The 12,191-nt window shown below is 46.2% G+C and overlaps 2 long non-coding RNA genes across 3 annotated transcripts in view; one reads left to right on the top strand and one right to left on the bottom strand.

Moving 5' to 3' along the window:
* LOC105375264 (uncharacterized) overlaps positions 1–2,954 on the top strand; it is a 32,395-nt gene extending 29,441 nt beyond the window's left edge. Inside the window, exons 3-4 of the long non-coding RNA XR_001745204.2 lie at positions 2,042–2,168; positions 2,868–2,954. This is a non-coding gene — a long non-coding RNA (uncharacterized LOC105375264). The remainder of the gene's footprint in view (positions 1–2,041; positions 2,169–2,867) is intronic.
* LOC102723446 (uncharacterized) overlaps positions 1,827–12,191 on the bottom strand; it is a 52,707-nt gene continuing 42,342 nt past the window's right edge. Inside the window, exon 4 of one of the 2 annotated variants that reach the window (NR_187744.1) lies at positions 1,827–4,449. This is a non-coding gene — a long non-coding RNA (uncharacterized LOC102723446). Of the gene's footprint in view, positions 4,450–8,509; positions 9,009–12,191 lie in introns of those variants that run through there. The other variant, NR_187745.1, reaches the window with a different exon arrangement.

Raw genomic sequence — 12,191 nt, 5'->3', positions numbered from 1 at the left:
GGAGCCACCAGACAGACATACAATCATAATTGTTTGAGACTAAGTGCCTCCTCTGGGGCCATCAAGTTATGTCAATAACATGGGCAGCCAGCCCCACAGCTACCACCAAGCTGGAAAGTGGTAAATTGTATAGGTAAGTTAAAGCACCACAATACTCTTTTGCTGAAATTTAGGAGCTTCTTTCTTTGTGAAACACTTCTTTTATTGTTGTATATTTTTTATTAGATTCCTTAGTTTTAAAAAGTTAACCTAATAGTTTATGCCAACTTTATTGTTGCTTTAGTGAAGAAACAGTTTTAGAGTTCCCTACTCTGCCATTTTCTGCTTCTGACTGACATTTTCAAAGAACCACAGGCTATTGTGTTAAGAGGAAGCAATAGAGAGGATTGAGGCTGGGAAGCTAATGGCAATAATGAGATGAGACATGAGGGTGCCTTAGATGGGGAACAGTGGAGGTGATAAGAAGTGATTAGATTCTGAGCATATTTAGGTGGTACAGCCAAAGGATTTGCAGATGGATTGGAATGCAGGCAATGAAAAATGTGGAGTAGAGAGGCCTAATAAAGGGGAAGGATGAATTTGCCATTACTGTGCTGGATTCCTGAAGAAGTTTTCTGACTGGTCTCCTGGATTCCATGTTCAGTCTTCTATAATCCATTGTCAACAGAGTAGCTGGAGTGAACCTTTCAAAACTGAAATGAGATGATGTTACTCCTCTGCCCAGTGTCCCATCCCAAATATTTACAATGGCCTACAGAGTCCTAAATAACCTGACTCCCTGCGACCTTTCTGTTCACATCTCCTAATTCACTCTGTTCCAGCTGTGTTCCTCTCTGGCCTTACTGTTTCTACAAATCACCCTACAGGATTCTAACTCAAGGCCTTTGCACTTATGTTCCTTGATATGCATGGCTCCCCCTCCATTTCTTTATGTCTCTATATAAATGTCACTTTATTGAAGATGTCTTCTTGTCCACATTCTGGAAAAAAAAAAAAAACAGCAGATTTAGCCACTCCAAATGTCCTGACACTTCCTATTATCTTCTGCTGCTGTATTTTCCCCACAATATGTGTCTATAGTAAGTTCTTTATTTCATGATTTACCCTCTGCTCACTCTTGCCCCATAGAATGTAAGCTCCATCACCATGAGTCAACTCTGTTTTCCTCATATCTGTGTCACCAACACCTTGAAAAGAACCTGGCAAGTCAAAGAACAAAGTTAATATTTCCTGAGTTCAGAAACTGAGATATGCAGTTTTGTGTAAGACACAATCATTATGTTGAGAGATTCCACAGTTTAGGAGGGAAGAGAAGCAAGTAAACTTGTGACTATATGCAGTGGATGGGTCCTGTATTTCAGAAGAATACAGAGGAGGGATGTCAAAGGGATAGTCCCAGGACACACTAAACCACGTCAGGGCTGCAGCAGCAGAGGGAAAAAGCAGTCCACCCCCCAGGCTCCATCAGAAGGATTCTGCCATAATTATTGTTTTCAGCATAAGGCTTTATTGGAAAAAAAGCTTCTGACTCTTAGAATAATATTTAGATGCTACTGGTCTGCCCAGACCCTGTTAGTACATAACGCATATCAGTTTAAACTAATTAATATATTACGCCCCTTGCTCTTGGGCGAGCTCTGCCATAACCAGCTGAGAGGTCACAGGGCATGACTATCTAGCTCATCAGCTCTGAAATGAAGATGTTAGAGGAGATTGCCTTGGTAGTGGCCTTCAGCTCCAAATCTGTAGTCTGTAGTCTGAGTCCAGAAACATTTGTCCCAAATGAAATTATATCCATCCTTATGACATAAAACAGTAAAACCACGAATTTATTAGCTACTTTATTTTTCCCAAGACATTTTCAGACATCTCTTTGCTTTTGTTATCATTCTTTGTAATAAGTTTAATGAGCAGATGTGATTTATGCCATGTGTTTGTAACAGCCCGAACTTTGATATTGCATTTTTCATCACTGGCTTCCTTGCATTTGAGATATTTTCACCAGGTTTAGAAAGACTCTTTTCTGTTTTGTTTACAACAGATGCTAGAGAAGTATAGCCAAGAAAGAAAAGAGTAATGAGACTTATCTCCATATCCTCCCATCGGTTTCTCAACTAGATCTGAAAAATGCTACAGGCAGCCATACGAAGAGCACCGGAATGCAAAGGGTTGGTTCTCTCTTAAAGACACACAGTCTTGGGGTCGTATTTTTCAAACTGTAGTTCATTCATACAACAGCTTTTTTGAGTAATTGTTACAGGGTGAAATGCAAAAACAAATAACACGGAAGTCCCTACCATTAAGAGGCTTACTGACAGACTTGAAAATAGGAATTGTCACTATTTTAAAATACCATGCTAGGAAATGGAGAATGTTTCCTAATGGCTATGAGGTTTTTTAGAGGGGAAGGGGTGACAAAAATATTCTAAAAATAGACCATGTTACACATGATCAAAACTCTGTGAATATACTAAAAACCATTCAATTGTCCAATTTAAATGGGTGAACTATATATCAATTACATCTCAGTAAAGCCATTTGAAATAAATGTGACATACCAGGAATCTGCACAGAGCTTTGTGGGGGCACTGAAGATAACCATGGCCATCCTTTGCAGGGTGGAGGTAGGAAGAAGTAGGATAGGAACATCTCAATACAAAAGTCAGACTCAGACATTCAAGCGTAACCCCTCCACATGTGTGTCGAAACACATCTGAAACTCAGCATGGCCAAAGCCAAACAACTAATCTCTCCTCCAGACTCACTCCATGTGCAGGTTCCCCATCTCAACAACTGTGATTTCATCATTCCAATTGCTTAGGACAATGTCATTGGAGTCATTCTTGACTTTGATCTTTCTTCCACAGCCCACACCTAACCCATCAGCAAATCCTGGTGACTCTCTCCTTAATATAACTCCTATCTCCACTGCCACCCTGCACTTGGACGGCTATGACACCTTTCTCACTGGTCTTGCTACGTTCAACTTGTCTTCTGAAGTCTATTCTTGATACAGCAGCCCAAGTGATACCTTCAAACTGCCAGTCAGATGGTGGTACTCCTCAGAATGCTGAGAAGTTTCCACCTAGTCTAAGCAGAAGTCCTTCTGACCTGGCCCACCACAGGGCTGGTCTCACGTGTATCTCCTGGAGGCCACCCACTCATGGTGTGTCTGCAATTCCCGCCTTCCTTCTACTCCTTTCAGTTAGTGATATTTGTGACTCTGCAATCGTATCACTGGTGGGACCTCATTAACTCATGAATTGGGTGACTTTGCAAGAAAAAGAAACTTTTCAAGAGATATATTACCATTTCTCAAAGAACAGGCTACAAGAAGACTTTGAGATGAGCTGAAGCAACCTATATCTGGAAATGAATCACTGCAGCCAGAAGAGGTCAAAAATGACAAAACAGAAGCCTGGGAGCTGCCTGCCTGGCCCAAGGTCACAAAGTTCTTTAGGGGCTGGGTCAAGTGTGCTGGGGGATTAATTACCATTCTTTGCACTGTACCATTGCTTTTTGAGAATGTGCAACTCCCTTTTTCTAATCCTGGCAGCAACTTCCTGAGCTGTGCCTTGGTTAGTTAGGGTACAAAGAGAATCAAAACATTATACAGAGAGAATAAACAGATGGGTATGTCCTGTTTATTCTGCCCTATTGCTTATCCTGCATGGCTCATGGTTCCCTGAGCACACTCTGCCCCCTCCTCTCCTCTCCCTCAGCCTGCTTCTGGCCCCCAGTTACCCCTCTCATTGCCACTGTCACTGGCATGTTCACCCTGAGTTCTACATACAAATCAAACATAGTGCATGAAGTTTTTGCTAGATATAAAACCAGAAATTTTTGGAATCTTCCTATGAGATTATTATTTTCAATGTTATTAATACATTGGTTAATTGGATACCTTATTTGAGAACTTCAACTTGAATGGAGAGTATTTGTTGTACAGTTTGTGCTTCCATTTTTTAGGTGCAGAAATCCAGCCTTCCTTGGTCATCCAAGAGATACAATTGAAGGCTCATGCTGTCCAATCCCCCCCTCTCCAAAGTGGTAGAGCTGAGGGCTTGTCTGTTCCTTCATATGCAGAGGATGATCCTGATTTTTGGGAGGAGAATGCACTAGATCATCATGGATAAATCAAGCTTCATTGATAAAGGAAACACCCTCCTGTTAATGCTTATTATGTGGCGTTTCAATCCTTTTTGTATCCAGATTAATCAAGGTTCAGCTCTGGAAGTTGCTGATAAGATTAGAACGAGGGAGTTCCGTGTTTGCAAAAGTTTTGCAGATGGATCTGAGATATGCTAATGTTCCAGTCCTCTCAGGGACGCTTCCTACCTGTGGAAGTGGGTAAGCCCCTGGGATCAGAGCTCTTTTCCTAGCAACACTGCAGATGCCGAGAGGCTGACACTTTGTCTTCTCCTCCTAGGTTTCTGGGACTCCATTCTCCTGTTAGGAGGACAGGACAGTGACTTTAGACATGATGCAAAACCTCAGAACAATGACGGCATTCCAGGCTCCAGAGAGCCTTTCACAGCCTGGCTAGCTGTGGCATTCTGTGCTTTCCTGAGGATATGCCCTGTTCACCACAATCTGACTTCAGAAAATCTCATCTCCTCCCCAATGCATTTGCAAACTGCCTCCCAGGAGTGCCCTGGGGACAGAAGCACTCACTATTCTGTGATCTTTCTCAGTAGCAGAAAGATTCTCAGGACCCTTTTATTCTAAGTAGCATAAATCCCATTCAAACTGGCTTAAGCAAAATACAAACAAAAGTTATACTGCAAGCTCAGGTGTAGACTTCAGGAACAGCTCCATCCAGGAACTAAACACTATCAAGTGTGTGTGCAGTCTGTCTCTCTCCAAACCATAGTTTTGCCAACTTGCATTTTGGCTTTATTTCAGGCTCTAGTTGGACTCATCTGACAGAAAGAGCAGTCCTCTCCTATGTCTAAGATTGGTTTTAGTGAATGAACTTGGATCCCTATGTCAGAAAGAGCAAGCATGCTGATTGCTGATACAAAGGAAAGGTAAATTCTCCAATAGACACTTACATCAACTTAATTTTCAGGACGACCCTTCTGGACCCTTTCTATTGTCGTCTTGGTGTCTGCATCACTGATGCCCCTTCACTCGTGCTGGGCTTCATGCCTTTGCTGTGTTGTTATCTGTTAGCTGTGAGCTCTGATCTCAACATGACCTTGGCTACACTCTTCAGGTTTCTTGAGGCTCTGCCTTCATAGCTTTATGTTATCCCAGGTTCCTGCCAATCTCACAAGCCTGGTTACTGATGGGTCAGAGTAGCCATAATAACTCTCATTGTACTGATCCTGCAAGGATCTCAGCCACCGTAAAGGGTCCAGGTTCCTGGGGGTGTCGCCCTTGGTGTCTGGGACACTGCCTCATCACTGTCATGTCTTAGATGCATCTGTCACCATCCCCCGAGCATCTCGATTGCCTCCAGCCACCAACTGGCTCCACCTCTTTGGCAGGTCACCTGCTATTGCCTACTGGATGGAGTGGTCTTTTTTAATAAACTTTTTATTCCGGAACAGATTTAGATTAAAAAGTCACAAATTTAGTAAATAAAATTTATGAAAATAGTGAAGAGAGTTTCCATGTAACCCATACCCAGTTTCCCCTATCATTAATGTCTTACATGTGTATGGCACATCTGTTATAATTAATGAACCAATATTGATAAATTACTCAGGTTCCCTTGGTTTTTGCCTAATGTTCTTCTCCTGTGCCAGGATACCAAGGACATTTAGTTGTCATATCTCTTTTGGCAGTTCTTGGCTGTCAGGATTTTTCTGGTTTTTGACAACTTTGACAGTTTTGAGGAGGACTGGTCAAGTATTTTGTAGAATGTCTCCAAAATAGGGTTTGTCTGATGGTTTTCTCATGATTAGACTGAAATATGGGTTTGGGGAGGAAGCCCACAGCGGTGAAGGGCCTCACATCACATAAATGGTACACATTGTCAGTGTGACTCATCACTATGGGTGTTGGCCTTGACCACCGGGAGGAGGTCCTGTTAGTTTTTCCACCATAGAGTGCCTCTCCCTTCCCATTTTCCATGCTGTGCTCTGTGGATGGAAGCTGCTCTGTGTGCCCCAACGTGAGGAGTGAGGAGTTTGCTCCACCTCCTGAGGCGATCATTAACATCACACACACATGTACACCTGGCCCCCAGACCCCAGGGCTATGGATTCCTCACGTCCCTGTCACTCCATGAGGTGCAATGACTAATTGTAGAAGGTGTTCAGTAAGCATTTGTGGATGGGACTGAACAGTTGCATTGCCTGGGGAATCTTTGCTCCCCAGGTTGGCTGACACCCAAAGGTGAGCCGTGTCCCTGGATGTCCTTGAATGCCCCACGTCAAAGCTGGCTATGGAACAGCCAGAGAGTGCTCATGAGCATCCTTGGCACCAGAGTGGACAATCAGACCTCAGAGAATGTGCGCTTCCCAGCTAAATTCCGCAGTATCTTTTGCTTCCCCCAGCTCAGAAGAAAATAGGTCCATGCTTATAAACTAGGAAGGACTAAAATGGGCTTAACTTTCTCTCTGGGTTTGAACTTGTGTCATGGGTAAGAAGAAACTCAAGTGTCCTGTGTACTCTCCAACATCAAAGGTCAACCTCAGCTGCTCTCACAGGTGACCCCTGTCAGATGTCTTTGACACATCATTGAACCGTCTTGGCTGAGTGTGGTTTTAAAATCTGTACATGTGTCCCTATTCCAGGCCGCACAGTATTTAATAGAAATAAAAGTGACTTCATCGTCTGCCAGCCTAGGTTCTCCCTAGACTGGAGGCTGGTTCTCCCTAGACTGGACATGCACAGGGTCCTTTGGGGAGCACCCCTGGCTCAACCACTGGGGCTGCTGCCTCCAGGCTGAGGGGCCGGTGTGGAGCTGCCAGCAGGGCAAGGAGCCCAGTGACGCCAGGAAAACGCACACACTGGAGGGAGCCCGGACATGCCTGCTTCAGCTTCTGACTTCACTCATTTTAACACTGGGAAAGTTGTTTTTGAAATGCCTCCGAGGGTCTAAGGTAAAAGCGCTTATTGATCATGTGAGGGTAAACATGCCATAAAGCACCCTCCACCCCACGGTCTCTGCACCCCTGCCCCTCCCCCTGTATGTCCCTCTGCAGTAGACAGGAAATCACATGTCCAGTCAGTAGAGGGGATGGGAGGACAGGGCACAGCCAGGCCTGGTGACCTCTAGCCCTACAAGTCCTGTGACCCCAGGCAATTCCAGGAGACTTCCTGAACCTCAGGGTCCTCTGGGACCCAGGTGAAAGCAGCTGTAGGTGTGAACCCGTTTGTGAACCGCAAGCCTCACACCTGGAGCTGTCCGTCGCAGGGACTTCCCACAGCTTAATTTCACCTTCTCCAGCCTCCCCTCCCCTTGAGGTCATCTCCCCAAGCACCCCTGCCACACCATGCTCTGTCCTGTGGGGCACCCAAATGTTTCCGGGCCCCAGGTCATGTATCAGAAGCCCGGAGTTCCATCTTTAATAGATCATTGCAATCCAGGCTCTTGCATGCCCCACTTCCCGTTTTTTTTTTTTTTTTTTTTTTTTTTTTTTTTTTTTTTGCAACATGCCCCAGTTCCCTGCTACCCAGACACACCATCTCTGAGCTGGCTTCAGGATCCTGCATGCCCCTCGGCTAGGCACATGGCTCTGTGCTGCCCTTCGGAGACACACTTCCTCTCTCTGTCCACTGCCAGTCCCATCCAGCCCATCCTGTCGACCATCGGGACCACCGATGCAGTGAAGGAGCTGGTCCATCTCCTCTGCCACCTCCAACCTCCTGCACCTCCCCTCCCCACTCACCCGCAACCCTGGGCTCGGGACCAGGCTCCCTAGCACGGGCACATCCTGCTGACAACGGTTCTCATTGCCCGTTCCAGCCACATTCTCAGTCCTCTTCAACACGGAGCCACTCTCCTGGAGGAAGAGGCACTCTCCACACAGCATCACCACACCTGGTCTGCATTGGCAGTCCCAACCTGGCTCTCCTATGGGTGGCTCCAATAGTCCTCTCCTCCCAAACTTTCCCCAGGTGGCAGGGGCAGGGCAGGGCAGCCAACTTCCCATGGGCTTCTTTCATCCTCTGATGGGTATGACCAGATTGTCTACCAACTGGGCTAAGTTAAGATCCAAGGACGTAGTGTCAGGGGAACAGTCTCTAAGGCTGAGAGAGTGACGCAAGTGCCAGTGGCTATGGCATCATGATTACAATGGGTGTGATCACAGCACAGCAAAGGAATTCAGAGTCTGCAGGACCAGGGCCACCCATCCTGGGCCTGCCTTCTATGGGCTATGCAAGGTGGACACACACTTTACCCTTCGGGCCTCCATTTCCTCTTCAACGTGGGAACAATGATGTGTCTTTCACAACATGGCGGGAAGGAACCATAGAAACAACACAGAGGATGATCTGATATGTGTGGCACGTGCCTGACACACGCCTGACACATGCTTGGCTCACACCAGCATTTAGCATTTTGCCATTTTTATTTTCTCCAAAAGTTGTGTTTTTCCAACAAGAAAATCTTGAAATCTAAGCTGCTGGGGGCTCTCTTTCTGAGCAAATGTGTGTAGCTGCACCAGGGGACAGGGATGAGAACAGCAGAATCCCAATAAAGGGGCTGGGGGCAGGGGTCAGTGTCAGCCACTCACAGGCAACCCCAACGGCAGAGTCTCAGACAGGACTTGGCCTCACTAGGGCTTCATCTGGGGCTTTTGTGTTGAGCTCTGGGGCCTCTCCCCCAGGCCTCTGGTTCTGCAGAAGCAGCAGCCTGCCCTTCCTGTCGTGGCTCCAGTCACAGCCTCTGAGCTTCAGCTAGGGTCCTTTCTGCTCCAACATGGATGGGCACCAGCACAGCAGACACAGCCCTCAGATGGCTCAGGCAGCAGAACTTTGCAACTCTGGCCAATAAGCTTCTAGGGAAGCAATGTGACTCAGAGGCCATCAAGCAGCTCCACACTGCCTTCCTAAGACGATGTGGTAAGAGTGTTAGGTACTTATTTCCTGGTGAGAGCACGTATCTCTAATTAGTTTTAAGCCAATAGGATGTGCAAAGCCTACAACTTCAAACATCAATTCAGTTAACATTTATTATGTGTCTCCTATGGCCTGGGAACTTTCATATATATTTTTGCTAATAATCTCACTGATCTTCACAGAAACCTCATAAGTTAGCTATTAATGCTACATTCATATGGTACATAAGAAAACTAAGGTTTTCTCCCACCTGTTGAGGGAGAGACTTAGAGCAAGACCTAGGATCTTTCGGATCCCATGTCTGTGCTTTTCCCATAGGACATGGGGTGGCAGGTCCTGGAGGGGCAGAGTGTCCTCCTAGACACCTTTCTGGGGTCCTCTCAACAGGTGGAGAGATAAATATTGGTATTACCATTTTACGAATGAGGGAATTCAGGAGCACAGCGGGGTTTTAAGTACCACATGTGCAGGTAGCATTTTAATCTGTTTCTTCAATGTCCCAAGAAAAAAGGGCTCCTTTGGCCACCTGTATCCAACAATCTTGTCATCTGCTCTAAAGCTCCCAAGGAGACTGGTGCGCTTCTGGATGGATACTGAGCTTTCAGAGCTGAAAAGGACCTCAGCCAAGACCCCTGGTGTCCTGCCCCTGCTGGTGCTTTGTGTGGCTGAGGGAGACAGGGCAGTTTCCCCATTTTCAAAGGTGACATATTCTACCACTTTCATCACTTGAAACATTGGAGATTCCAGCCCATAGCTGGGCAGGGCAGAGCAAAGACACTACAGAGAAGACAGACCACTCCACAGTTTGAAGTTAGGATAGGCAAGCAGCATCTCAGAAAGAGGTGCCACAGAGCAAGTGAAGAGCCCCAAACACAGACTTGAATCTCAGGGAGAGGGCCGGGAGCAGGGAGGAGAGGAGATATCAAGAACAAGACAAAGCAGAGGCTGACAGGACTGATTCAGCAGGCAGAGAAACAAGGAGCCCTTCTCAGGCCAGGAGAGTTTACTGGGCCCATGAACGGCAAAAAGAGGAGGAGCTGCACGTGCCAGCTCCCCAGGTCCCTGTTCAAGACAGTGCAGAAACAACAGCAACAGGAATGAGGGATGGGACACCCTGCCACCCTGTGGCAAAGCAGCTCTATCACCTGTAGCTGTGCCCAAAGGGAGGTCTCGTCAGAAGCCAGGAGGCCATGAGAAACTTTCACCACAGCCTCCTCAATCCCAGGGAAGCAACTGAGAAATGGCAGCTTCTCATAAGCCTCCATGATCAATCCCATGGTCTAAGAGGACCACAAGACACTCTGCAAAGATTTGGATTTAGCCACAGTGACAGTCTTGCCACATGGCCTGGTGGATATATGCAAGATTTCCAGGGTTCCATGGAGGAGCCAGTCCCCTCCAGTTGGAAACTGGTTGGGGGCAGTTGTGGAGGCACGGAATGGAGGCAGGTAGACAGTAGACAGCAGTCAACAGCAAGACTGAAAGGTGAGAAGCCTCGGTCAGAGCCAAAGGACAATGAGAATGAAATCTCTAACCTTAAATCTCTGGGGATTTTAAGCAAAACAATCACCTAATCAAGTTTGCGCTAGGTTTGACTGTTATTTTTCCTGAAAGCAGAAAGATCCCTAATGAAAATTAACATTTAAACCATTGCTTAAAATGGAGAGCAGTTTCATGTTGGATAATATTAAATAACAACAAATTTCATATTTGGCTCTGTCTGAAGTCCTGACTAAATTCCATTACTCAAGAAGCTAATAAAAATATTTTTTAAGATTTTCTTACCAAGTTATGATTTTTCTCAGACTCCCTTGGACTTCCTAAGTTCCTGGTAGTTTCATGCATTTGTCTTTTACGAGATATCGACTTTTCAGCAAGTATTTTGAAAAAGAGGGGGTTTCTCGCAGAGGAAAAGGTTCAGAAGCTATTAGCATGGATTTTAGAAAAAGAAGCTGAAAATTCTGGCAGGAGAGAGAAGGTCAACTTCGTTCAATATTTATTTAGTATTGCAAAGTCAGTTCAGACTTTGGAAATGAGAGTTTTGGAAAGGACTCTATTCTTAGAGCCTCCCTTGGGACTTCTGCTCCCACAGCCAAAAGCTCAGGACCCCCAAGGGCACTAGGAGCCAGGCGTGGTCAGGGGATGGTGGCCAAAGTGCTGCATCACTCAACCAATCCCATGAGGGCAGCTGTGGATCAGCCCGGCTGGGGGCTCCCATCCCCATAGAAAACTGGCCAGGGCCCCACAGTGAAGGGGATCAGGTCGGGGCCAGGGTTGCTTCTAACCAAGTTGCCCCAGTTAATGTGGCAGAGCATAGGACAAACACAGCTGAAATTAAGAAGCAAGCTCTATCATCAGGCCCTTTTTCAGACAAGGAAACTGAGACTCAAAGCAGCAAATTGTCCACTTACAGCCCCACAGGCTGTGGGTGGCCTGGATTTCTCCTGAGGATGTGCCACGCAGAGTTTCCATGAGTGGCTGCCAGGTCCCTGAGCATCTCCCCCAGGCACAGCACAGGCTTGGCCTGCGCCTCACAGCTGAACTCCCTCCCTACATTGGACCCCCAGGGCCAGGCTAGAAAGCCTTGGATTTGTGGGACAGACACACACTCCACAGCCAGTATTTTTGTAAATAGAAGTAGCATCAACCCATTTCTGGCAGATGGTACCTGGACAGCTGGAGTCCTGTTTGGTTTCCTTTGCAGAAATCTACTGATTTCTGATGGTGGACAGCCAAGGAAATCCAAATTCCCATAATTTAGACAGAAGAGCCTGAAGTTGGCAGGCATCAGATAAGACTGAATCTCCGTGTTCCCATCTAAGGGTAAAATTAAACTTATCTTTGTTAATCAGCCAAGAGCCACTAACACCCGCTACAAAAGCGCCTGCGGGGATAAGCGCAGATGCAGGAACGGCAGCCCCTGGACCTGGGTAGAGGCTGCAGCAGAGGGCTCTGGGGACAGTGCCTTCCTCTCAGCTGCCTGCCAGGCCGGCAGGCACTAATTATTTTCAATAAAATAAATGTCATAAAATCTTTAACGTTGTTGGAAAATAGTTAGCAAGGAGATAATGGGTTTTTTTTTTTCTGCAACTGCTAATGACCCAGCATGAGAACATTTCACCCAGAATAACTTGTTTTCTTTATATTTCTTCTTAGTTTCATGAAGTCAAGAT

Source organism: Homo sapiens, chromosome 7 (assembly GCF_000001405.40).
Source record: "Homo sapiens chromosome 7, GRCh38.p14 Primary Assembly".
NCBI lineage: Eukaryota > Metazoa > Chordata > Mammalia > Primates > Hominidae > Homo > Homo sapiens.
This window is presented reverse-complemented; position numbering and strand designations above follow the sequence as displayed.